Source organism: Homo sapiens, chromosome 2 (assembly GCF_000001405.40).
Source record: "Homo sapiens chromosome 2, GRCh38.p14 Primary Assembly".
Taxonomy (NCBI): domain Eukaryota; kingdom Metazoa; phylum Chordata; class Mammalia; order Primates; family Hominidae; genus Homo; species Homo sapiens.
In genome coordinates, this window is record NC_000002.12 from 231,904,554 (window position 1) to 231,930,028 (window position 25,475).

Genomic DNA, 25,475 nt, shown 5'->3' on the forward strand with positions numbered 1-25,475 from the left:
ACCTGGCTGCAGGAAGCGCAGTGCAGCTGTGTGCAGAGCCCAGGTGGTTTCTGTCTACCCTGGTGGGGGTGGAGCCAGGCATGGACACTGCTGCAGCCCTGGGAGCCAGGTTCTGGGGCAGTCATATTCCGGTCCCCATCCAGCCCTGGGACACTCACTTTGTCTGCTCAGCCTCGTTTAGGATGAAGCCCATCAAAGGCCTTCATGTTGGGGGTGAGGGGTGTTCATCACAGAACCCGTGTACTACAGTTGACTGCCCAAGGGGTGGGTCCTTGACCCCAGCTAGGCCAACTGGGTCCTCCCCTGGGTTTGTTTTGTTTTGTTTTGTTTTTTTAAGTCTGGAGTGCCTTTCCCCCTTCACTCACTTTCTGATCTACATCCTGGGAGGTGAGAGGCATCATGGTTTTAACTGATCTGAGAGAATGTGGCTGACCCTTGCTCCCTAAGCCAGAGAGTTGGTGCAGACGAAGTCCCTGTGGCCTTGGTGATGCTGATTCCAAGCCCCTGCCACCCCCAAAGGCACTTTTCTCCCAGTGCCTGAGGGCCTGGCTTCTTTCAGCAGAGCCATGGGAGTTGAGCGTCTCATTTGTGCGCCCCACCCTGCCCCCTCAGCAGACAGGCAGGGCTGGGCTGGGCCCAGGCCAGACTCTCCTCTCCCAGGAGCTCTTTGAGGAGCAGCAGGGTGCAGCCAAGAGCGAGCACCTGGGGTTGGCAAGAGGAGACGGGTCTGGAGTCCCCTGGGCAGAGGGAGAGTCCAGCTTCTGGGGAGAAGTGGATCCTCCAGGGTCTAGGGCTGTGTCTGGGGAGCCAGCTCCACAGGGAGTCTGGGCACAACCTGGTGTGGTCTTTGGAACAGCAGGGCCTTGGACAGAAAGCTGTGAAAAAGGCAAAGAGGGGCCCACGATCCAAAGCACCAGTCCATCTTTGCCAACAGTGGTCTGTGCCTGCCTCTTGGAAAGGCCCGTGGTAACAGTTCTCCAACAAGAATCATGTCCTTTGGGTGTTTTGCTTTGCTTTTAAAAAATTTATAACCACATTGCAAACATTTGGAAGATTGAAAACCAACAAAAAAATCGCCAGCAGCCACTGTTCAAGTGTAGAAAAATGCTTGTTTTAGTTAATTTTCTAGCCGGTGTGGTGGCTCATGCCTGTAATCCCAGCACTTTGGGAGGCCGAGGCAGGCAGATCACCTGAGGTCAGGAGTTTGAGAACAGCCTGGCCAACATGGTGAAACCCTGTCTGTACTAAAAATTCAAAAATTAGCCGAGGATCGTGGTGGTGCGCGCCTGTAATCCCAGCTACTCCGGAGGCTGAGGCACGAGAATCACTTGAACACGGGAGGCGGAGGTTGCAGTGAGCCGAAATTGTGCCACTGCACTCCAGCCTGGGTGACAGAGTGAGACTCCATTTCAAAAAAAAAAGGAAAAAATGTTCTAGCATGCAGTCTAGTACTGTGATAGAAGCAGGTTTGGGCTAGGTAACCTAAACCAGTGATTCTCAAGTGCAGTCCCAGGAACAGCAGCAGCACCTGGAAACTTGTTAGAAATGCCAGTTCTCAGGTCCTACCTCCGACCTTCCAAATTAGAACTGAGGGTGAGTTTCAGCAAGTTGTGTTTTAACAGATCTGAATATGTTCTAGTTTGGGAGCGACTGACTCAACACTTTGTAATTTCATGCAGTCCTACTGCTTCACCACCAGAGGGCACCAGGAGGCTGTGGTTTTCCCCTTAAAATTGCCAGCTTTTAGATTCTCAGTGTCGGCCACAGATACTATTCAGACCTCACTGGACTTTAAAAAATAAAGAATGACGGACGATATGTTGAGAATTATTGGCTAACCTTAAATACCACCATGTTTGGACCAAATTGAACTGTCATTGTGGTTAGTCCTTGCCCAACTGCAGAGCCAGTGTCTTTTGGTGGTGGTGGAACGCATTTGGTGGTACTTCTTTTGTTCAGAACATAAAGAAATGTAAAAGCATTGGGGTCAGAAACAAAGACAGACTCCTATTAAAAGTCTGAATTCTTTATGGCTGGGCATGGTGGCTCACGCCTGTAATCCCAGCACTTTGGGAGGCCAAGGCGGGTGGATCCCCTGAGATCAGGAGTTCGAGACCAGCCTGGCCAACATGGTGAAATCTCTATTAAAAATACAAAAAATTAGGCAGGCATGGTGGCAGTCACCTGTAATCCCAGCTCCTCGGGAGGCTGAGGCAGGAGAATCGCTTGAACCTGGGAGGTGGATGTTGCAGTGAGCTGAGATCACACCATTGCACTCCAGCCTGAGCAACAAGAGGGAAACTTTGTCTCAAAAAAAGAAAAAAGTTCTGTATTCTATATGGCCAGGTGCGATGGCTCATACCTGCAATCCTAGCACTTTGGGAGGCCATGGTGGGTGCATCGCTTCAGCCCAGAAGTTTGAGACCAGCCTGGGCAACATGGCAAAACCCTGTCTCTACAAAAAAAAAAAAAATTAGCAGGGTGTAGTGTCACGTGCCTGTAGTCCCAGCTACTCGGGAGGCTGAGGTGGGAGGATGGGTTGAGGCTTCAATGAGCTGAGATGGTGCCACTGCACTCCAGTCTGGGCGACAGAGTGAGATCCTGTCTAAAAAAAAAAAAAAAACAAGTTCTATGAAAGGCAGAATACAGTTCCACTGTGGCCACGCCTGTAATCCCAATACTATGGGAGGCTGAGGCAGGCGGATCATGAGGTCAAGAGATCAAGACCATCCTGGCCAATATCGTGAAACTCCGTCTCTACTAAAAATACAAAAATTAGCTGGGCGTGGTAGCACGCTTGTAGTCCCAGCTACTCAGGAGGCTGAGGCAGGAGAATTGCTTGAACCCAGGAGGCAGAGGTTGCAGTGAGCTAAGATCGCGCCACTGCACTCCAGCCTGGCGATGGAGCGAGACTCTGTCTCAAAAAAAAAAAAGAGACTTATGATAGATGCGGTTGTTTGCCTCTCCTCCCACACCTGCTTCAAACAGTGTTTGGGTGCTGCATTAGCACCCAGTGGCCTTAGAAAGTGCCTTCAGAACAGTGGGCTCCAGGCAGGGAAGGCTCTCTTGGAGGTGGTCTTTGGGCCTCCTCAAGCTTCCCAGGGGTCTAGGAATGACCTGTGTGATCTAGCTTCCTGCCACTTCCTGGAGCATTTGACTTTCTTCTTCATGGCCCCCAGCGCCCTTTTCTGAGAACACCACTGACCTCAGCAGTTTCTCTGAGTGGTTTGCGAAGCCCCGAGGCATGTGTGCCAAGGACCTCCCTGAGATGCCTGAGCTGCTCTTCCCACTCACAGAGCTTTGTGGGGGTTTTAATACAATAAGCCATCAAAAGTATAGATTAGACTTTTTTAGCACTGCGTAAAAGACACTTCCATTAAACTCCATGGTTTTTTTTTTTTTTTTTTTTTTTTTTTTTTTGCTTTATTGGAACTGTGCCGTTATCCAAAACTCAGCCATAGACATGACGATTTATTCATTTGACAAACACTGAAATTTTTGGCGGGGTGGGGAACGAAGTCTGGGCTCTGTCACCTAGACTGGACTGCAGTGGTGCAATCATGGCTCACTGCAAGCTTGACCTGCTGGGCTCAAGCGATCCTTTCCCCCTGCCTCAGTCTCCCAAGTAGCTGGGACTACAGGCCTGCACCACCACGGCCAGCTAATTTTTAAATTTTTTGTAGAGACAAGTTCTCCCTATGTTGCCCAGGCTGGTCTTGAAATCCTGGGCTCAAGCAATTGGCCTACCTCGGCCTCCCAAAGTGTTAGAATTATAGGCATGAGCCACCATGCCCAGCCAACAAGCATTTATTGAGCATTTAAAGTGTTCTAGGGGTCAGGCTGTGCCTCATGCCTATAATCCCAGCACTTTGGGAGGCTGAGGCAGGCGGATCACCTGAGGTCAGGAGTTCAAGACCACCCTGGCCAACATGGCGAAACCCTGTCTCTACTAAAAATACAAAAATTAGCCGGAGGTGGTGGTGGGCGCCTGTAATCCCAGCTACTTGGGAGGCTGAGGCATGAGAATCACTTGAGCCCGGGAGGCGGAGCTTGCAGTGAACTGAGATTGTACACCACTACATTACAGCCTGGGCAACAGAGCGAGACTTCATCTCAAAAAAAAAAAAAGTGTTCTAGGGTATAGACACTGGACTTGCAGTGGGAACAAAACAAAATTCCACCCCATGGAATTTACATTCTGATGGGAAAGATGAGCAATAAACAAATAAGCACAGAATATGACGTCAGAAGGAAAAGAAAGCAGAGTGGGGAGTACCAGGGCGTGGGCAGCGGGGAGAAGGCTTTCCAGATAAGATATTGGAAAAGGCCTAACTGGGGGATTGGCTTTGGAGCGGAGATCTGAATGAAAAAGTAAGTGAATGCATCCTGAGAATGTCTAGGGAAACGGCTGTCCAGGCAGAGAGAACATCAAGTGCAAAGGCCCTGCGGTAGGACTCATCCCTTAGGCTTGCAGAGAGGGGAGTAGGACTGGAAGCAAGGAGATTCCCCTTCCATGCCCGGGCATCTCTTTCAGTTGCCCAGGCATGAGATGGAGGTGGCTGGAGCAGGGTGGGAGCAGAGGAGGGGCAAGATGTGGCTGGATCCAGGATGAGCTTGGAGGGTGGGGTGCCCAGCATCCATGTCTGCATTATGTGAGTTACAACCTCTCTAGATATGGGTGGCTTCACGTATTCTCTTTAAAATTCTCTTTCGGTGATATATATTATTGAAAAGATGATCACCTAGGAAAGACCGTAGCTTCCTATTCACCCTGTATCCAGTATACTTTGCTGGAGAAGCCCACGCATGTTATGCAAGTACTATTTTATTTTATTTTATTTTTTAGAGTCTTGCTCTGCCACCCAGGTTGGAGTGCAGTGGTGCGATCTCAGCTCACTCCAACCTCTGCCTCCCAGGTTCAGCCTCCCAAGTAGCTGAGACGACAGGCATGCACCACCATGCCTGGCTAATTTTTGAATTTTTAGTAGAGACGGGGTTTCACCATGTTGGCCAGGCTGGTCTTGAACCCCTGATGTCAAGTGATCCTCCCACCTCAGCCTCCCAAATCCATGTGCATCCTATCATTGGTCTTGCCACTTATTAAGTATTCACTGTGCCAGCAGCAAAGACCTTTTCACAGCATCCGGCATCTGGTTCCCCACCCCCACCCTCAGCCCTCTGAATTAGGTATTATTCCCATTTGACAGATAAGAAACTGCGGCTCAGAGGGGCCAAGATGTTTGTCTAACCACATGTATTCTAAGATGTTTGTCTTCAGGCCTAACGGTCAGAGAGACCTTCTCATTACAGGAAGGGACCACAAGGGGAATTGTTGCCAGAGGACGGATGTGGCGGCCTAGGGGAAATGGGCTTTGCAGGATCATAAAGGAAGCCTTAAAACTTTGATAATGACAACAACAGAAATTGAGCAGCCATTTCTGTGGCTTTTTTTTTTCTTTGAGACAGAGTCTCCCTCTGTTGCCCAGGCTGGAGTGCAGTGGCGCAATCTCAGCTCACTGCAAGCTCTGCCTCCCGGGTTCAAATGATTCTCCTGCTTCAGCCTCCCTGGTAGCTGGGATTACAGACATGCACCACAATGCACGGCTCATTTTTGTACTTTCAGTAGAGATAGGGTTTCGCCATGTTGGCCAGGCTGGTATCGAACTCCTGATCTCAGGTGATCTGCCTGCCTCAGCCTCCCAAAGTGCTGGGGTTACAGGAGTGAGCCACCACGCCCAGCCCTGAGCAGCCATTTCTGTGGCTTTTGGACGTGAAGATGTGCAGGGAGGAAAGCCTGTGTGGGAAGGAGCGCTTCCTGCGGGGGCGGGGGAGGTCTCTCCTTCTTCATGTGCCTGCCACTCCCTTAGAAGAGACCTCTCTTGGGCAGTGTCTTGGAAGGTAGGGTGGCCAGCATCCATCAAGGGACAGAAGCTAATGTCCCCAGGCCAGCCACATTGGTTTGACTTGCTGATAACAGAATGTGGTCCTCTGTGCCTTCTGCAAAGAGCCCTCCAGCAAACTTCTGCCAGCACCTGGGACATTCCAGGAACTGGGCTAGATGTCGGGAACACCAAAACAAGAAAGGCCCCATTCCTGCCCTTGAGGGAGTTGCAGCCACCTTTGGGGTATAGCAGAGCATCTTGGCTCTGCCCAAATGGGACCGCTTTTATGGACCAGGGAGTTCACGGCTCTTCGTAGGCATTGACAAGCACAAGGACCCGTGTTGCTTGGCTGGTGGAGGTGGAGAGTTTGCGGGGTGTGTTGGGTAGGGAATGAGAACACTGTGAAGACAGAAATAAGCATTTGAAGAGGAAGGAGGGAGTGGCTTGGGGTCATCTGCCACCCTCCGCCTCTGCCCCTCCCCACCCACCTGTATTGACTTCATGCTTGAAGGCCAAGCAGCTGGTGGCAGTAGCCCATGCGGCAGCTCATGTGATACAAAGACCACAGATTCAGCCCAGCAGCACCACTTAGACAGTGTGAGACTCAGAATCCTCCCCCACTGCAGCCCCAGAGCTGGGCACCCCGGGAGCTCAGGAGGACCCAGTGCAGGGCAGCATCCCTGGGGGGAATTGCCAGCATGCAGGGTCCAGGGTCGTCTCTGAGGGCTGTGAGCTGTGGACTATCAACCTGAAGGAAAAGGGAAGAAAGCAAATGGGCTTGTCATGTTCACAGGTGAGGTGTCTCTGGCATTTCCCTGAAGCCATGGAGGTGACTGTGAGGAGGCGGCACAGTCCTCCAGGCTGTTGTGATTTGGGTATCACTGTTCCTGGGACTGAGATTTTGCTTGCAGTTTGGGAAACCCAGGCACTTGGGTGGCAGAGGTGCATGACCTGGTCTCATAGTGACCACAGCTCTCTACCTGTCAGGCTTAGAGTGAGGATACGGGTCATCTCATGCCATCCTTGTAGCAGCCCCCACGAGGTAGTACTATGATTGCTTCCAGTTTACAGAAGCTGAGGTTACACTTGGCCAAGTTCCCCTAGAAAAAGGAGTGGTGCCAGGAATGACCTGGCCACCTGACACCTTGGCGTGGGTCCCCCTCCCCTGTATGCAGCTTAGGGAACATCGCTCCTGGAAAACGTCTAGTCTCACACACAGGGTGGGGCTCTGAGTGCAGGAGTCTTTATTCTAAGAGTCTTTCTTCTATTTTGAAGTAACTTTTTTTTAGTCACAGCTTTATTTTGATATAGTTCACACACCGTACACTTCACCCATTTAAAGCAGTGAATCCAAATTCAATGTTGTTGGGTTTTTTTTTTTTTTTTTGAGACAGAGTCTCACTCTGTCGCCCAGGCTGGAGTGCAGTGGTGCGATCTCTGTTCACTGCAAGCTCTGCCTCCCGGGTTCACGCCATTCTCCTGCCTCAGCCTCCCAAGTAGCTGGGACTACAGGCGCCTGCCACCACGCCCGGCTAATTTTTTGTATTTTTAGTAGAGACGGGGTTTCACCGTGTTAGCCAGGATGGTCTCGATCTCCTGACCTCGTGATCTGCCCACCTCGGCCACCCAAAGTGCTGGGATGACAGGTGTGAACCACCGCGCCGGGCCTTTTTTTTTTTTTTTTTTTTTGAGACACAGTCTCGCTCTGTCACCCAGGCTGGAATGCAATGGTACGATCTTGGCTCACTGCAACCTCCACTTCCCAGGCCCAAGTGATTCTCCTGCCTCAGCCTCCCGAGTAGCTGAGATTACAGGAACCCGCCACCGCACTCGGCTAATTTTTTGTATTTTTGGTAGAAATGGGGTTTCACCATGTTGCCCAGGCTGTTCTTGAACTCCTGGCCTCAAGTGATCCACCCGCTCAGCCTCCCAAAGTGCTGGGATTACAGGCATGAGCCACCATGCCTGGCCTGTGTTTTATATCTTTACAGAGTTGTGCAACCATCACCACGATCAATTTGAGGCTGTTTTCCTAACCTTGGAAGAAATCCTGTACCTATCAGCAGTTACTGCCTATTTCACCAGCCCCGCTCCAGCCCTGACAGCCACCGACGTGCTTTCTGGGTTTTCAGACCTGCCTATTCATGATCTTTCATATGAAAGGATTCATAATTGTATGTAGCCTTTTGTGCCTGGCTTCTTTAATTTAGCATGATCTTTTCTTTTCTTTTTTTTGAGATGGAGTTTTCCTCTTGTTGCCCAAGCTGGAGAGCAATGGTGCGATCTTGGCTCACTGCAACCTCCGCCTCCTGGGTTCAACAGATTCTCCTGCCTCAGCCTCCTGAGTAGCTGGGATTATAGGCGGGCGGCACCACGCCCGGCTAATTTTTTGTATTTTTAGTAGAGACGGAGTTTCACCATGTTGGCCAGGCTGGTCTCAAACTCCTGACCTCAGTTGATCCACCCACCTCAGCCTCCCAAAGTGCAGGGATTACAGGCGTGAGCCACCATGCCCAGCTTCTTTTCTTTTCCTTTTATTTTTTCTTAGACAGGGTCTTGCTCTGCCACCCAGGCTGGTGTGCAGTGATGTGATCACGGCTCCCTGCAGCCTCGACCTCCTGGGCTCAAGCGACACTCCTGCCTCAGTATCCGGAGTAACTGGGACTACAGGCATGCACCACCATGCTTGGCTAATTTTTTAAAAAACTTTTTGTAGAGATGGGGTCTCGCTGTATTGTCTAGGCTGGTCTCAAACCCCTGGGCTCAAGCAGTCCTCCCACCTTTGCCTCCCAAAGTGTTGGAGTTCAGGCATGAACAACTGTGCCCAGCTCACATGATGTTTTTAAGGTTCATTTATGTTATGGAATGAATCAGTACTTCATTTCTTTTTATTGTCAAATAATATTCTACTGCATGGAGATGCCATATTTTATTTATTCACCAGGTGATGGGCATTTGGGTTGTTTCTACTTTTTAATTATGTATGAATAATGCTGCTATGAACATTGTGTGTGTGAATTACGTCTTCATTGCAAACAATGTGGGTTCATGGGTGTGGGGCGTGTCTCTGAGTTGCGGGGGTGTCTGCAAGACAATCCCCGGGCCTGGGAAGAAAGTATGAGCATAGACAGAGATCATGCAGATACGGATATGTGTATGTGTAATCTTATGATACAGATGTGGGCTGGGCGCGGTGGCTCACGCCTGTAATCACAGCACTCTGGGAGGCCGAGGCGGGCGGATCACCTGAAGTCAGGAGTTCGAGACCAGCCTGGCCAACATGGTGAAACTCTGTCTCTACTATAAATATGAAAATTAGCCGAGCGTGGTGGCAGGCGCCTGTAAGCCCAGCTACTTGGGTAGCTGAGACAGAAGAATCACTTGAACCTGGGAGGTGGAGGTTGCAGTGAGCCAAGATTGCACCACTGCACTCCAGCCTGGGTGACAAGAGTGAAAATGTATCTCAAAATAATAATACTGATGTGCTTATGTTTAATGTAGACATAAATCTATACCCACGTTTTTCCTGCTGGGCCGCTTGTATCCAGGTGCTGAGTACCACTGTTGCTGTGGGTCGTGTGAAGGAGGCCCACCCCTGTGTCCTGAGGGCAGCCCTCCCCCACGGCAAATGGCTTGTCCAGAGGCGTCCAGTCCATCGGAGCCCAGAAGCCACTGCCACAGCTTGCTCACCTTGACTCTCTTTGCTTGCACCCAGAATTCACACCAGCACTGGGCCCCTCAGTGTCCAGGAAGGAAGCCCGTGCTATGTCCACAGACCCACTGATGGGAAGACCAAGTGACGGGAGGGAGCGGAGCCCCGCAGGCCTTCCCAGGGCTCAAAGCTTACCCGAGGTTCTCTATCTCACCCCAGCATCCAAACGCCAGGATCCCAATGCAGACAGCCCCACCATGCCCGGCTAATTTTGATGCCTGTGCTTTCTGATCAGCCCCCTCCACCTTGTCTGCCTTTGTCCCAGGGCAGTCCTTGAATCCTTTGCAGAGCTGTCCCGCCCCATGGTGTTCCTCCAAGTGTGACGAGACTCTTGTCCACCCTCCTTGACTGTACAAGCAGGACACTTGGGAACCTTGTTTCTGTTCTGTTCACATCTGGAGACTCCAGGCTGTGCACAGGCCTGGGGATGACAGGCCTGCCCCTTCTCCAACTCCTCTCTGGCTCCTCGGGTGGAGGAAGTCGCTACAGGTGTGTGTTTCTCTGGGGATGCTTCACAGAGCCACTTCTGCCCTCACGCTGGAGAAATGAAATAGTCGTCAAACTCCACAGAGAATTGGTCTGTGCTGCCTAGAACGATCCAGACCACCCCTATACACACACACACACACACACACACACACACACACACACACACACCCCCCATATGCTGGGCTGAAGTCTAAACCCCAGAGACATTGGGAGAGGGCCAAGTTGCCATGAGGACAAGCAGTGGTCGGGGAGCCAGCCCCAGATGAAGATGAGTGTGGAACGGGCCCCATGCGAGAAAAGGAGGTTTGGTGGTTTTAACCAGGTAAGGAGAAAGTCCTCAGATTACGTTAATGGCCCAGAAAGGACAGAGGAGGCCAGGAAGGAGCAAATGGCCCAAATTCCTTGTCTGTCTTCTGAAGGAGCCTGAAGTTATTGTGTGTGATTTTCATTTGGATAGCAATATAAATGTGTGTTTGATAATTTTCATGAAAAACCTTAAGGAACCTCCAACAGAATTACACACCGGCTGTCTATTTTCCAAATCATTGCAGAAGATAAAAGCAAGCACAACAGTCTACAGAAAACAAGTAAAATGGAACAAAAAATGTAAAAGAACCTTAAAAACAGAAAGTCAAAATCAAGATGAAGACATTGGTCCAAGCATAAGCAATAGTGTGAACAACTTAGGCCTCCTTAATAAAAAGCAAAATTTTTCAAATTACATATATTTTAACCTAATATATTATAAATACACCTAAATTTTAAAAAACCCACACACAAGAAGGGAAAGGATCAAAGCTTGGGAAAAGATATCAAGCACCAATAAAAATAAAATAGGGCTGATAATGTTCACATCAGACAAAACAGAATTTACTGGGAAGTACTTGGCATAAAATGAAGGAACTCTAAGTGCAGGCTACGTGGGTGCAGGCATGACTCCTGTTTGCTGAAATCTAGGTCTCTTCCAGGCATGAGCAAGAAACAAACCTTTGGCATTTTAAGCCACTGAGCTTTGGGGATGGCTTGTTAGCACAGCATAACCCCCCATCTCCTAATAGATATGTTAATACTGAACCTTCTGTACTGAATAACAACCATATAACTATGAATGTGAGGATAAATGGGAAAAAAGTCACAGTGCATTTTCCAACATCATTATCAGTCTTCAGTGAATCAAAAACAGGGTCAGAAGATTGGGCCATGGTAATATAAAAGGTAAAATGGATTAAATATTTACGGAATTTTGAACTGTGTTAGTAGGTCTTTATATTTTCAAACTATCTGTGTGCTAGTTACAAAATTGATTAAAACATAGGAATTAATAATAAAGCAGAAAGTATACAATCACTGAACCAACCTCAGTAGTACTAAAGTTAATAATACGAATTAAACAAAAATTAAACTCCACTTGTTATGGAAAAAAAATAGGTCAATAGACTATTTAGAAGCTAAGAACAGTGAAATTGCCACATATCAAAACTTTGGGATATCGATACAGTCATACTCTGGAATGTGTTCAGTTAAGCATTGAGAAAAGGTTCAGAAAATTAAAACCAATATAAATAAAATTATGAAGTAATATACATGCAAAAATAAACAGAAAATAACAAAATAAAACAAAAGCATATTCTGATAGCTGAAATAATTAAAAAGTTAATGAAATGGTTGAACTTCCCATCCTCACAAATTGGAATGTAATTTATTAAACAGTTTCTGGCTCCAAAGCTGGTTTTTTTTTTTGTTTTTCGTTTTTTGTTTTTTTTGAGACAGAGCCTCGTTCTGTTGCCCAGGCTGGAGTGCAGTGGCACGATCGTGGCTCACTGCAGCCTCAGGTTCCCGGGTTCAAACAATTCTCCTGCCTCAGCCTCCCGAGTAGCTGTGCCACCCAGCTAATTTTTGTATTTTTAGTAGAGATGGGTTTTCGCCATGTTGGCCAGGCTGATCTCGAACTCCTGACCTCAAGTGATCCACCTGCCTTGGCCTCCCAGAGTGCTGGCATTACAGGCGTGAGCCACTGCGCCTGGCCTCAAAGCTGTTTTTGGAGGGGGGCTCCATGCAGGGAGGCATCGATGTGGACCCAAACTCACAACACTCCAGAGTGAGACCGACAGACACTGCCAAGTCAGGAAGAGGAGGAACTGAGACTAGAAGGAGCCGTAGAGGAACAGCTGACCCTGCCTTGGCTTTTGGTTCATGGACCAAATGCCTCAATGAGGAATGAGTAAAAGCATTCACTTCTCCGTTCTCGGGGTCTCCACTCAGAGTCCCAGGACTGGTGGGCTGCCAGCCATTCCTCTCATGCTTCCTGAGATGGGCAGGCTCTTTTCCTGCCATCTGATATTCTGCCATTTTCCCAACATCTTTCTCCAACTAAGCACACAGATTGCAAATCACAAAAATGGCCAGGTGAGATGGGGTGCTCACGCATGCCTTCAGGATACACAGAGAACAGATCTCTGAAATATATCTGCAAAAGGATCTAGAAGAAAGTCTCAGTAAACTGCTACATTCGATGTTGGATGCGGGAGGACGTGGACTCTGTGAATCAGGAGCTAAAATGAAAAGGCAACAGTGAGATCAAAAGGGAACCAGATAAGACAAAAGGGGAAAAGGATCAGATACAGAAAACTTACAAAGAGATAGAAAATGTGGTGGAAGATTGAATCAGAGGTGTGAAAAACAAACTGAAATTCTCGAACAGGACAGAGTAGACCGTGGGGATGCTGGGGGTGAGGCAGGCTGCTCTAGGGCTGGTTTGCCCTGGAGAGGAACTGACTGGAGCTTGCCAGGAAACATTTCTGCTTCTGTCCCTTCACTGGACAACAAATGGCATCTGTCCAGGGCCTGGACCAGGATCGGATAGAGAACATCAGACACTCTGCCATCAGGGAGGGGACATTGTCAACTGGCATTCTCTGGGGCAGGGAGGGAGGACCAGTGATCCACAAGGCAAGCCCATTACAGCTATAAATGTGAGGTCACTCCCAGGATCAGACCTGCTAGTCACGCTGCGCTCATACTTCTGATGTGGTCACTTTTGTCTTCTGCAACCAAGATAAGAAATTGCCTCTAGAGAGGTGGTATCCACCCCTGCCCTGCTGCCTGGCCTTATCCCTGTGAGAGGGAGTTGCTGGCTGACACTTCAACCAAGGCGCTCCTGTGCTGGTGGGTCACAGCCTGCCCTGGCCCCTCCCGCTTGCTGCTTGGGTTCTAGCCAATTGGACACACCAGCAGGAGGCTGGAAGGGAGGGGAGAAAGAAGCCGAGATCGTTCTCATTCCACATCCCTGCAGGAGCTCCTGCCCCATGGCACAGCTTCTGCCCCATGGCACAGCTCCTGCTAGATGACACCCCACCCAGCTCAGCTCTGAAGACAGCTCCCTCCCTTCGGCCCCAGGGAAGAAACTGGCTTCCCACTGGGCACCTCTCTCTCAGCTGCCCCGACTCTGGAAATTGTCGCTTTCTTAAAGCTCTTCATGTGAACCATTGGAGTCAAATCTGGGTTTTTTTTTTTTTTTTTTTTTTTTGAGGCAAGGTTTCACTGCCACTCAGGCTGGAGTGCAGTAGTGCAATCTGGGCTCAGGTGATCTTCCCACCTCAGCCTCCCAAGTAGCTGGGACTACAGGTGGGCACCACCCTGTCCAACTAATTTTTGTATTTTTTGTAGAGATGGGGTTTTGCCCTGTCGCCCAGGCTGGTCTTGAACTCCTGGCCTCAAGCGATCCGCCTACCTCGGCCTTCCAACATGCTGGGATTACAGGCATGAACCACCATGCCAGGCCTCAAATCCCATTTCTGATGGGCCCCCCACTGATGCTTCTTCCCCACTTACCCCTCACAACTGAGGGTTGGGGCTACTCAGCCTCCCCCTACCACTCTCCTGACTAGGCTAAGGGCTCTTCCTAAGGCACCAACAGGGTCTGGATATTGAGGCTTCTCTGATCACCCCCAGGGCGCCCAACCCGTGCAGAGCCCTATCTCCCACCACCCTTGCAGGTCATGACTGTCAGGGGAGGCCCTCTTGCTTGTTTGGTGGGGAAGGCAGGCTCCCAGACCACTTGCTGTAGGCCTGGCGATACCGCCCCACCTCGCCAGGGCACACACCGCCTCCATGGCAGGTGCACCACCTCTGCCCCACGGGCGCTGCCTCTCAACGTGATGTCCTCAGATGGGCTTGACAGACTGGGCCTTTCCTCCAGGCGTGTGTGGGGGCCCAAGGTAGGCTTCCTGGGCCTAGTGCTGCTGGGCCAGGGTTCCCACATGTCAACAGCTGCGGCACCAGGGACCAGGCATGCCCAGCGACTCCTCCCTGTGGGCCCCCTGCCTCCCCCAATGGCTGTGCTGCTGGAAAGGGAACGAGGCCCTCCAGCCCCCGAAACTCTCTTTGCCTCTGCTGTGCTCTGGCCTGTCCAGCCCCGTGGCGTTTCCCAGGGACTCTTCTACAATTGATCTTAGCTAAAAGGCCAAGAGATGATCAAGATATGTCTTCCCGCACTGCAGAGATGCCCGTTTTGAGAGGACCGGGACTCCAGCGAGCCCCACCTGGGCGCTGTTTCTCCAAGCTGGCCCTGGCAGTTGTCACCTCAGATGGGAGAGAAGCCACAGGTGCTCCAGGCAGCTTGGAGATTAGAGGCTCCCTGAGAGGAAGGAGGCCAGGACAGAGGCCCAAGGCTGGAAGCTCTCAGATAACAGCACCTGGGCCATCTCTGGAGGTGTCAAAACACTTCCTGTTAGTTATTGAATATTTGTCACTCCTTCTGGGCTTTCCTGCGGAAATCCCTGGCTGGGACAACATATTCCAGTCGCTGCTGAGGAAGCAGTTGCAGGACTTCAGGTCTGGATGTAAAAGGGGAGGACTGGCTGTATGGCTGTATCCTAAAGCAACAGGCGGAGGGGCTGGCCTTGACAGCGGAGGGCTGTGCTTTTTGTTTGCAGGCAAATACGCAGGACAAGAGCACTTAGGAGGACAGCATGTGTAGCTTGGGCCCGAGAGGCCATATTGGCCCAGATGGTAGCCAGGCACTGTCCACAGGGAAAACCCTTTAGCTTCTAGTGGGGGTTCCCTAGATCCCAGAATTCGCCATCCCTTCTGCCTCTGGGCCTTGGGAAGACGTGCCTGCCTCGCCACCAGCAAAGCTGGCAGTGTCACCTTCTGCCACCCCCTGCTCCCTCCCTGGTCTGTAAGGGGTCTGCAGACAGCACAAGGAGCCGGGGCACTCACTGGCGAGGCTCGGGTGCTGGAGTCCTCAGCGTCAGTGATGCGGGCCCATAATCTTCCAGCCACCGAGGTGGGAGTGGGACAGAGGAAGGTAGCCATGCTCTGGGTGGCTTCCACAGGTGTCCCCAAGGAAGGGGGACTGGAAATGTCCTCTGGGGCACTTGTGGAAGTTGAGAGAACTTTTGAGGGAAGTTGTAGAAGCTGGAACGTGTCTTTTCTTTCTTTTGTGTGTGCGTGTGTGTGTGTTTGTGTGTAACAGTCTCACTCTGTTGCCTAGGTTGGAGTGTAGAGGGGTGATCACAGCTCACTGCAGCCTTGACCTCTGGGGCACAAGCAATCCTCCTACCTCAGCCTTCCCCCGAGTAGCTGGGACTAGAGGTGGCCACCACCATGCCCAGCTATTTTTTTATTTTTTGTAAAGATGGGGGTCTTGCTAAATTGCCCTGGCTGGTCTCGAACTCCTGGGCTCAAGTGATCTGTCCGCCTCGGCTTCCCAAACTGTTGGGATTACAGGTGTGGCCACTGTGCCCAGCCAGGAACATGTCTAAAAGGGGATTTCTCACCTGGGCAATGTCACTGTGTTGGCTACTCACACACTTGAGAGGTTGCTGCTGGAGGGCTACCTGGAACAAAGGTCCCAGGGCTCAAACACCCACAGAAAGACCAGGTGACACTGGCTACCTCCCCAGTGACACTTCCTCTGGAACTCCTCTCGGTGCCTGCGGACCCATGAGCACAGGGCAACACTGCTCCCAATTCCCCTGAGCAGGGTGCCCCCAATCCACTGATGTTACTGGCCCAAGAGGGTATGTTCCCACCTTCCCCTAACAGGGGACAGATGACAGGGAAGGCTGCACAGGGCTGTCATCCAACCAAGCATGTAGTGAGAGTACCTCGGAATTATTTCAAAGTTTCCTGCTGGTTTTAGGAGAAGAGATTCTAATCTAAATTATATTCATAAATTCTAAATTATATTCATAATTCCACACTCATAGCTCCATGGGGCATAGGAAATGTAATTGTTAGTGGCTTCAAGTGAAAAGAAAACCCACAACCCTCCCACAAAGCGCAGCACACTACAGATATGAAATTTGATAACGCCTTTTCCTTCTCTCCAAGGTCTCGGCTCCCAGCTGACCATGGCATTCATTATGAGGCACAAACTACCCATCCTAGGCTTTGTGAGCGAGTCTAGAAAACAGAGTTGCTGAGATTCGTAAGGTGACCTGGCCAATTCTGCAAGATATGCAGAAGCCTTCTAAATCTCCCCCAAACAGAGAGGGAGTTAGCAGCTATTTCTTCCACTAACAGCAGAAGATGGAGTAGAATTTACAGGACCCTAAGTCAGCTGAATTCAAAATTAATTTTTTTTTTGAGATGGAGTCTTGCTCTGTTGCCCAGGATTGGGGTGCCGTCTGTGATCTCGGCTCACTGCAACCTCTGCCTCCTGGGTTCAAGCAATTCTCCTGCCTCAGCCTCCCGAGTAGCTGGGATTACAGGCACCTGCCACCACGCCCGGCAATTTTGGTAATTTTAGTAGAGATGGGGTTTCACCATATTGGCCAGGCTGGTCTTGAACTCCTGACCTCAGATGACCCACCCACCTTGGCCTCCCAAAGTGCTGGGATTACAGGCACCTGCCACCACGCCCGGCCGTCATTAATTTAATTCATAACATCTGACTTCCTAGCGGTCAGGTGTTTGAGCAGAGCTTCCTGACCTGGCTGAGCTGGTCAGAATCACTTGGGACGAAACTTACACAGCCAGTCCTATCAGATTCGGAGAAGGCAGGAATCTGTATTTTTAGCAAGGTCTCCAGGGGATTCTGACACAGATAAATCCAGAATTGGGAATCTGCCTGTCAGACCTATTTGGAGGCAATGCCTTTTCTTCACATTCTCCCTCTTTCTCAGCCTAAGTCCTAAAAAATACAGGCAACAAGTAAATAAAGACAGTTTTCAAGATATTCATGGAATGACTTTTTTTTTTTTACATTTTTTTTAACTAGTTAGGACAAAAACATTACAATGATTGACTTCTTTCATTTAGTTACATAAATAAAATTTTTATAAATATCTCTTTATAAACAATATAAATAGCTTTACAACATAAATACATTTATGCATGACATGAATTTACAAACAGCAATGTTTTACAGCTGGTTCTGTCAGTCTCTTAAAAACTGTCCCTTGTCATCAAGTCGGTGTAGGTGTGTGTGTTTCATGTATATAATATATATATAATATATAACTTTTTATTTTTCATTTTAAAAAAACAAATAATAAAATCACAACCCCCTCCCCAAATAATAATAAAACAGCTGGTGTTGTGTATTCCCAGTACCAGGAAAAAAAAAGAAAGAAAGAAAGAAATGTAAAAGCCACATTGCGTTGGAGGTGTTTCCAGATGCTGGAGGCTGATGACCAAAGATGACCTCAGCACAACGGAGCCAGTTCCCGATCCTGAAACACAGAGTGAACACGGGACGCTCAGTTCTGGCCCCTTAGCTGAGAAATCCTAGCAGGCAGGGTGGTTCTAGAACCTTTCCTCCCCTTCTCCCAGCAGCTTGAGGGATGTTCCCCTACCTCCGCCACCCCCCCAACCAGGCCTTCCTGCAGAGGGGAGGAGCCCCCCATTGCGCACTCCCCAGGCCCCTTCTGCTTTGCTGCCCCAGTACAAGTGGAACCAGCGTGTCTGCAACACTCCTTCTTCCCCCAGTCTAACCACAGGCCTTGCCCTTGGCACTCAGGGAAGCGCAGTGAGAGAAAGAGAATGGAAAATCTCCCATCCCTTTTTTGCTACAACGCAAACCCTCAGTCAGTGCTCGCCCGGGGTTCGTGTGTCTGAGTGACCATGGATGGAAGGAGAAGAGAGACATCTCAGGATCAGGAATCCTGGGCTCAAATCTCTACTCTGACGTTGGGTCCCTGGATGACCCTGGATAGCTGGGAGTGTTCACCCATAAAATTGGATAATAGCCACCTCCTAGGGCTGGCTTTCAGATTCAACAGGGAGCCTCGGATCGGGCATCGGCAGTGTCTGGGTCACAGCTGCCACCCAGTAAACAGCACCTCCTTCCCTAGCTGGTTGTGCAGAGGAAAGGGTCTGGGTCCAGGTCCCCTTCAGGAGCAGAGGAAATGGTGTCTCACACCAGCCTTGGGGAAATGCACAGTCATGGGCTCTGAGTGTTGTTAGGGTAAACTCTCTGCTAATGGGTGTGTGGGTGCCCCGGGGCCCAAGGAAGGTGGCCTTCAGGGGCGTTCAGTGCCCTCCCAAAGGACAGCATGCACAGAGGGGACCTGGGCCAGAATGGCTTGATGAACCCTCCCCCACTCCCTTCTCTGGCTCTGCCGTGAGTTTACACAGATGACAGCTGTCTGTGATGTTGCTGGGCCCCAGGGGCAAAGTGTTCATTCAGGTTTCACCTACACCCAGTCTCTGTCATTAGCATTTTACAATGAATACCTAGAACCATCAACCACCATCATTACGGTGGCTTAGAGCCCAGGTCACCCACTGCGTGGAGAAACAGCCACAACCTCAAAGAGTTTTCATTAATGTGAAAAATCTAAGCTGTCTTTCTCTTTACGCCCAGTGATATATCCTGGGCATCGTCACCAGGAGCCTGCAGGAATGATGTTCTGCTCTCTCACTGGGAATGGGGGGCAGTGAGGGTGGGGTTTTTATTTTTCATTTAAAAAATCCCAAATAATAAATCCACACCGCCCTTCCCAAATAATAATAAAACAGCTGGTGTTGGGCGTAAGCCGGTGTTGAAGGTGTCGACGGTAAGTGTTCATCTATGCTAAGAGAGCTGGTAGGAGATTATTGAACCCCCCTGATCAAAGGGGTCGAGAATTCTTAACAATGTGGATTCCTCCTACACAGCATCTTTCACCACCCGTTTGGCCATCACTTGGTGACCACAGACATCCAGGCCCAAGAACAAAGCCCCTGTGGGGATGCGCATTCCAGGTACGAACCAATGGAGAGTCACTAACATTTGCTCAGGTTCTAAAGTTTGAACTTGATGCTTAAATCAAACTGAAAATTTGAGGCCTCAGACTCCGTCTCTTTGTTGTTTAGACAGGAGAGAAGAGAGCAAAGGCATTCCAAGGGTAGCTACTGAAGGCTGGTCCCCAAGTGTCAGAATCATTCTTCTCCCTGTGCAGGGGAGAGTCAAGATCACAGACAACTACAGCCTTTGCAGAACTGGGGAGAGGCCCACAGCCGAGTGAGGTCTGGCTGCAAAGAGAGGAAGGGCACTGGTTAAAACCTCGGGCAGGTGGGAGTGGCCATGGGCCAGGGTGTGCTGGTTTCTCTGGTCATTGACAAATATTTCCACGAGTCTGTTCGGGGTGCAGTGGGTCCTAGAGTGCCTTAGGCCAGCACTTCGCCCTTAAGCTGTTCAATATGGAGAGGTGAATGGGTTCACAAACTGTGAAAAAGTGTTCTGTACTGTAAAAAAGAGACAGTGTGCTGGACAGGCGCTCTTGTTTCCCTCCGGGAGAAGATCCGACACTGACAAGGGTTTCTGGGGAGGAGACAGCAGCTTGCCCGTAGCCTGGGATGGGACAGTCAAGGTGTGGGACAGGCAGTGGCAGCTGCTGAGCTGGAGGCAAGAAAGCGAGAAAGCCAGGTAAGCCTGATCCTAACGCACATGACTGTCAATGTCAGAGGCTGGGATGTTATTCAGTGGGCACGGGCAGGCGGCAGGAATAGAGAGGAGGGAAAGAGGAGAGGTGAGGCTCTCTGCAGCAGTAAATTACCACCACGCGGCACCCGGCAGGGGGTGGCGGTAGGGCAGAGGTTTCCAGCCCTAGTGCGGGGTGAGACCCCACACCAGAAACGGAGCCCAGAGCACCGGTTGGGTCGGGACAGGGTTGGTGAGGGACTCTGGGACGTGTTGAGTTCGAGGCTGGGGCAAATAATATTTACTTTAGTGTCTTTCCTATTCCCTGAAATAGTGCCACAAGCACTGAGATTCACCCCCGAAGCCACCAGGCTGCAGCTGCCTCAGGACCCTGGACAGACCAGTTTGCCCACTGCCTGGGTTTAGAGAAGGGACAGGAATCGGAGTGTCCCAGGCAGAAGGGCGCTCTGACAGTGCCAGCAGAGGGCTACTCTCACTACAGGGGGCATGGTGGCCAGCAGATGATCGATGTCCCCTGGACTTGTGGGTGTAACCTTCCTTCTCTGCTCCCACAAACCCATGATCTCCTCTCAATCCCCCCACCAGCTGGCCAATAGGGGCCAGTGCTGCTAGTTCAGCTACGGTTCAGGGGTGGGTGAGACACCACCAAGCCTGTTTCTGCTTCTCCAGAAGAAGCCAGGTGGGTTCAACCAGGCTGAGCCGTTTCTGACCTTGCCAAAGTTCCCCGATCACGTTATCCTTCGCTTTCTTTGTCTGTAAAGTGGGATAATAAAGGGGGCGGCTGGCAAACGCCTAGCACAACTTGAGCAAAGGCGGCTCGCGCGCCTCCGAAGGCCGGCTGGGCGGCGGGCGGTCCCGGGCCGGGCTGGGGCTGGGCGTCGGGTGGGCCGTACTCACCGCCGCCAGGGGGCGCCGCACTAACATCCCAGGCCGCTCATGGAGCCGATTCGGTCCAGCTTGAGGCCGAAGCAGCCCTTGGACAAGCCCTTCTTGTTGGCTCCTTTGTATTTGCGCGCGTTGGGGTGCTCTTGCAGAAGGCGAGCCCACGCTGCCCGCGACTTGGTGTCCACGCGCAGGTCCCGGAGCAGTCGCGACCGGTCGCCCTTGAGATTGGCGCCCCCGCCCCCGGGAGCCTTGTCGCCCTTCTTCTGACCGCCGCCCGCAGCCTGCGGCTCGGCCAGCTCCTCTGCCGGCGGGGTTCGCGGGACCTGTCCGAGGAAAGAGCGGGCAGGTGAAGGGACACGCGGCTGCAGCACGGGGGACTCTGATGCTCCAGCCCCACGCGCCCGCCGGCGCGGGGTGTCCCTCCCAAGCCCAGAGCCGCCCCCACCGATGCCGGCCAGCTTGGCCCCGCATCCACCTGCCACGCGGCCGCCTTCGCCGCTCCCTCCGGAAGCCCCCTGCCCTCCCTTTGCTGCTCGCCGGGCAGGCCACACTGGGGTAGGGGGCTGCGCATGGGCCGATGTTCTCCGGAGGCTGGAGAAGTGGACCCCCGAATCCGCGCTTCGAGGGCTCCCCGGCTCTCGCCCACGCGCATCTCGGAGGAGACAGCCGCCTGCCTTCCCTCTCTCCTGGGTCCTGCGCGCCGCATTCTCCAAGCCCCCAGCCTCCCACGCCTCTCCCAGGCTCGGCGTCCCCACGACAGCACCCACCTTCGGCGGCGCCCCGGGCTTGGCTTCGGAGGGCCGGAGGGAGAGCAGCGTGAGCAGCAGGGCGCAGGCCAGCAGCTGGGAGAGATGCATGGTGCCGCTGGGGTCGAGGGGCGCACACGGGCGGCAGCGAGGGCGCGCAGGTCGGCGGGCAGACCAGCAGGGGGATGCGGAGCAGGCTGGCTGGGCTGCAGGGCGAGCAGGGTCCCAGTGCTGCGCGGCGCCGGCTGGGTGCGCTCTGAGCCCGTGACTCTGCTCGCGCCTTTATAATCCAACCTGCCGCTGATGTCATCCTCCCGCCCACCGGGCCGCCCGGGCCAATGACACCACGCACGCGGCCGCGCCGAGGGCCGGGAGGGGGCCGCGGGGGCTCCCCTCCCTTATCCCACCCCGGAGGGATCCCGCGGCTCGGCGGGCTCGCTCCAGGCTGCACTTGGAGCTGCAGAGCTGAGCGCACAGGGGAACTCCATTTGCAGCGAGCGCGCGCCCTGGCCTGCCGAGCATCGGTGCGCCTGGTGCCCTGTGCACCCACTAGGTCCTCATCGCACTCACTCTACCTGGAAGGGATACGTAGCCCTCTTTGCAGGTGCAAAGACAGGCTCAGAGGAATGAAGTCACTTGCCCAAAGTCATACAGGCATAAAGTTGGCGCTGCCCGAAATCCACGCAGCCCTGCTTGTCGCCAAACTCTTCCCTGGGCACCTGACAGCCGCGGGATGGCATTGCAGCTCCGCCTTTCACCTGCCGGTCAGGGCGGGAGCGCAGACCACAGCGACGTCGTTAGGTTGGGGAGGCAGAGGATGGGGTTGGAGGACTGGGGTGGGAGGCGCAGGGAGAGCGGGGTTCGCCTGGGCCGCAGGGGGGAGCGCAAGTCTTCCACACTGGAGAGTGCAGGGGTGTCGCCAGCCTGAGTGTTTGAGCGCAAGGCGGGAACGAGGGGACTGCGAGCGCGGAACCAAGATATTCATGCTCATGCGTGTGCTCCGCGGCATCGTATGCTCGCCAGTTACTGCTCTAGGTTCACGTTCAGCCGGTTTCGGCCACACAGAACGTCCCGGGGTCTGACTCCGCTGGTGAACTCCCTCTGTGGGAACAATGCGCACCTGACCTTGCCTGCACCCACGCGAGGATCCGCTGCTGGGGGAAGCCCGCTCCAGTATCCTGTGCACTTTCACAGGCTGGGGAGAGAGCTTCCTAGCCAGCGGCCCAGTCCAGCCTCTGCCAGCCGTGACAGGTGGTCAACTTCCCGTTTTTGACTGTAGAGAGGTCCCCGTGGCTCTCGGGACATGGCCACATATCCCTACCACTCACGAACTTGCTCTCCTTGCACTGGGCTTCTCGGTCCCTTGGACACTAAGGAGTGTGGTGGGCATTTGGGCACTGCGGTGTGGGCCGCAGAGGCGGAGAGCCCAGATCCCCCGAATTGATTGAAGAGCAGGAATCTATGACTGGCTGCTGCTGAGCAGGACGCAGGCTGGAGAGAGAACAAATGTTGCCGCAGGAGTGCAGTGGCTGTCCCCAGGCGTGAAGGCGATTCTGGGGAGACAGTAGCCCAGACGAGATTTTCCAGGGAGAGGAAGCTGTGCCTGAGGCAGGAAGGCAACTGGAGTGAAGAGGGGCTTGGAGAACCAGGTTCCCTCCAAGCCTCCCTCTTCCCTCCGTGGTAGTGAGCCTGGTCCCAGAGCTGCTAAGGCGGCCGCATCATGGTCTGCTCTGTCGGCACCTTTCTCAGGCTACCCCTTCCCACTCTCATACCCTGACTCACAACATTGGAGCAACCACTACACAGGTCACTTTGCTTAGGAAACAGCTAACACCTGAGGTCTGAGTTTGGGGCAGCAAAGTTTCCTGATCTCCAGGAAGATCCAGACATCAACAGGGCACCTTCTGTGGATTCTGGTGAATTGAGTCACCACCTCCACGCAGCCCCCCAATTCCTCTCCGTGCTAACACCCATAGAGTGGCACCACTCTTTCATTTGAGGAGAAAGGAAGAGGAACTAGAAAGCAGTATAGGGAGGGGTATCCAGGTGGGCTGTGAAAGTTCCCTCTGCTTTTTGCCTGCTGTGCAAAGAAGGATGTTACCATCTGGAACTTCTCTGACACTTGCTTTCTTTATACCTGTTTAAAGAGTCAGGCAGAGCCACACAGACTGACTCTAGAGTCAAGCACTGGGCTGGTTTCCAGGGGCCAGCAGTACATCCTCTAAAGCCCCTTATTAAGGAAATCTTCCGCTGTTCATGGCTACTTCCTTCTGTCTGAACGTCCTTAGGTTGGTCCTTCCTGTCTTCTGTGTTCCTAGACACATTCGCGTCCAGGTGATTGACTATCTAGGTCTCCTCTCTGTTTGAACTTTGAGGCTAAATTAATAAAACTGACACCCCCAACCTACTGTGGCAGAGCCGATTCCCTGGACTCACCTTCCCATCTTTGGAAGGGAAATCTGGTGAGCTGCCACTCCTGACCACTGGGCGGTGGTCATCTGCAGAGGGAGGCTTCCCGGGGGGCAGGCTGTGGAGCAGCTTCTGCTTAGCTGGGGCCTGGGAGGCAGGGTGGGTAAGAGTCAGAGGCCTGGGCAGGAGGGGCCACCGGGAGGTGTGCCATCAGCACATAACTGCCTTGGAGATGAAGGTTTCCCCTCTCCCTTTGCTTTCCTTGCCTGGGGAGCTGCAGAGGACGCCCACTCTTCCTCCTGAGCCTAGATTTGGAACTCAGGTCCCTTTTTGTTGCTTTTCCCTTACGAAGTCTGCTTCTTCTGCCCCAGGCCCCAGGGGCATGGCCTGGGAAAGTTGAACTCACTGAGCAGCTGAATATGAGCTATTCAAGTCATTTTATTGACTGCTCAATTTTAAATTTCCTCCTAACGGCAAAAGAGGGAGAAAAGGCCCCAAGGCCGCGGTAATTCTGTAAGGAATCATGTCGTTCTCACTGATCTCGCTGATCTCCCGGTATCTACTGAGCATCCCTGAAGCCTGCAGGGTTCCATCCAGCCGGGAAGAACCCCCTAGCAGACAGACATGAGCTTTGTAGGCTGAAAAGGACAATGACAGGGAAGGGGACAGGTCAGGCTGAGGCCACCCAAGGAGGGCTCCTCCTCCAGCCTGGACTAGCAGGGTGGGCTTCCTGGAGAAGGAAAAGTCTGTGCTGAGCCTGGAAACACAGGAAGAGAAGGGAAGAGAAGAGGAAAACCTCGACAGAAAACCAGGCTAACAGTGGAATGTACTAGAGTCAGGCCTAGAGGGGTGCTGTTTGAGAAAAACCAAATGAGAGGCCTCACCAAAGGGCAACACAGAGGGCAGGGGAGGCCGATGAGACTGCAGAACCCCATGTGCCCAGACCTCGGGAGGGTGGAGTGCTTCAGGCAGGGGTGCCCAGAGGAGGCAGACTAGGGAGAGGCAATTCTAAGGTCGATGGTGTTCTGGAGGTGGGGGGTGTGATGGAGAGAGAGGAGCCTGCTGAGCTCTTGGGGGTGGGAAGGGCAAGTGAGCTTATTGGGGGTGCCTGAAGATGAGGCAAGGGGAAGGGGGTCAGCTAGGTGTGGGGGAAGTGGGAGGGAGCAGGAAGTGGGAGGCAGAGCCAGCCTGAAGCATGCAGAGCCTTCAGTGTCAGAGAGTTGCATGGGCGAGTCCAGGGTATCAGCTCTGCCACAGTAGGCTGGGGGTATGCAGGGCCTTCAGCGTCGGAGAGTTGCATGGGTGGGACCATTTTCTCCCTTCTGGCCCTCTGAAGGGCGGGACCCCGTTTTGTGGGCCCCTTTTCACTCTTTCCCTCCTCCCAGAAGGGCAAGGTGCGACTCTGACACCTACTGGAGAGGGGCCCTTCCTTGGGACAGGCGATGTCTGGCCAGGAATCAGGATGTGATAGAAAATGAGAG

At 52.4% G+C, this 25,475-nt stretch overlaps 1 protein-coding gene across 2 annotated transcripts, besides 6 other annotated features; it reads right to left on the bottom strand.

The window, feature by feature from the left end:
* Positions 577-1,195: an enhancer, noted in NCBI's record as "H3K27ac-H3K4me1 hESC enhancer chr2:232769840-232770458 (GRCh37/hg19 assembly coordinates)". NCBI's record gives its function as "activates a minimal SCP1, AML or CMV promoter by ChIP-STARR-seq in primed H9 embryonic stem cells {active_cell/tissue: H9 hESC(primed)}" and the evidence as "EXISTENCE:reporter gene assay evidence [ECO:0000049][PMID:30033119]".
* Positions 1,196-1,813: an enhancer, noted in NCBI's record as "H3K27ac hESC enhancer chr2:232770459-232771076 (GRCh37/hg19 assembly coordinates)". NCBI's record gives its function as "activates a minimal SCP1, AML or CMV promoter by ChIP-STARR-seq in naive H9 embryonic stem cells {active_cell/tissue: H9 hESC(naive)}" and the evidence as "EXISTENCE:reporter gene assay evidence [ECO:0000049][PMID:30033119]".
* Positions 17,256-21,843, bottom strand: NPPC (natriuretic peptide C). 2 transcript variants are annotated; one of them, NM_024409.4, is made up of 3 exons: positions 21,607-21,843; positions 20,852-21,162; positions 17,256-17,762 (listed from the first exon to the last, which is right to left on the bottom strand). In NM_024409.4, exons 1-2 carry the CDS (start codon positions 21,694-21,696, stop codon positions 20,872-20,874), a joined length of 381 nt encoding a protein of 126 aa, NP_077720.1. In that variant the 5' UTR covers positions 21,697-21,843; the 3' UTR covers positions 17,256-17,762; positions 20,852-20,871. The 2 variants fall into 2 exon arrangements, with proteins under 2 accessions (NP_077720.1, XP_011509547.1); XM_011511245.4 differs by having other exon boundaries at positions 17,256-19,912.
* Positions 20,737-20,826: a silencer, noted in NCBI's record as "silent region_12451". NCBI's record gives its function as "represses an Ori minimal core promoter by ATAC-STARR-seq in GM12878 lymphoblastoid cells {active_cell/tissue: GM12878}" and the evidence as "EXISTENCE:reporter gene assay evidence [ECO:0000049][PMID:35858748]".
* Positions 20,907-20,956: a silencer, noted in NCBI's record as "silent region_12452". NCBI's record gives its function as "represses an Ori minimal core promoter by ATAC-STARR-seq in GM12878 lymphoblastoid cells {active_cell/tissue: GM12878}" and the evidence as "EXISTENCE:reporter gene assay evidence [ECO:0000049][PMID:35858748]".
* Positions 21,912-22,131: a silencer, noted in NCBI's record as "silent region_12453". NCBI's record gives its function as "represses an Ori minimal core promoter by ATAC-STARR-seq in GM12878 lymphoblastoid cells {active_cell/tissue: GM12878}" and the evidence as "EXISTENCE:reporter gene assay evidence [ECO:0000049][PMID:35858748]".
* Positions 22,533-23,187: an enhancer, noted in NCBI's record as "H3K4me1 hESC enhancer chr2:232791796-232792450 (GRCh37/hg19 assembly coordinates)". NCBI's record gives its function as "activates a minimal SCP1, AML or CMV promoter by ChIP-STARR-seq in naive H9 embryonic stem cells {active_cell/tissue: H9 hESC(naive)}" and the evidence as "EXISTENCE:reporter gene assay evidence [ECO:0000049][PMID:30033119]".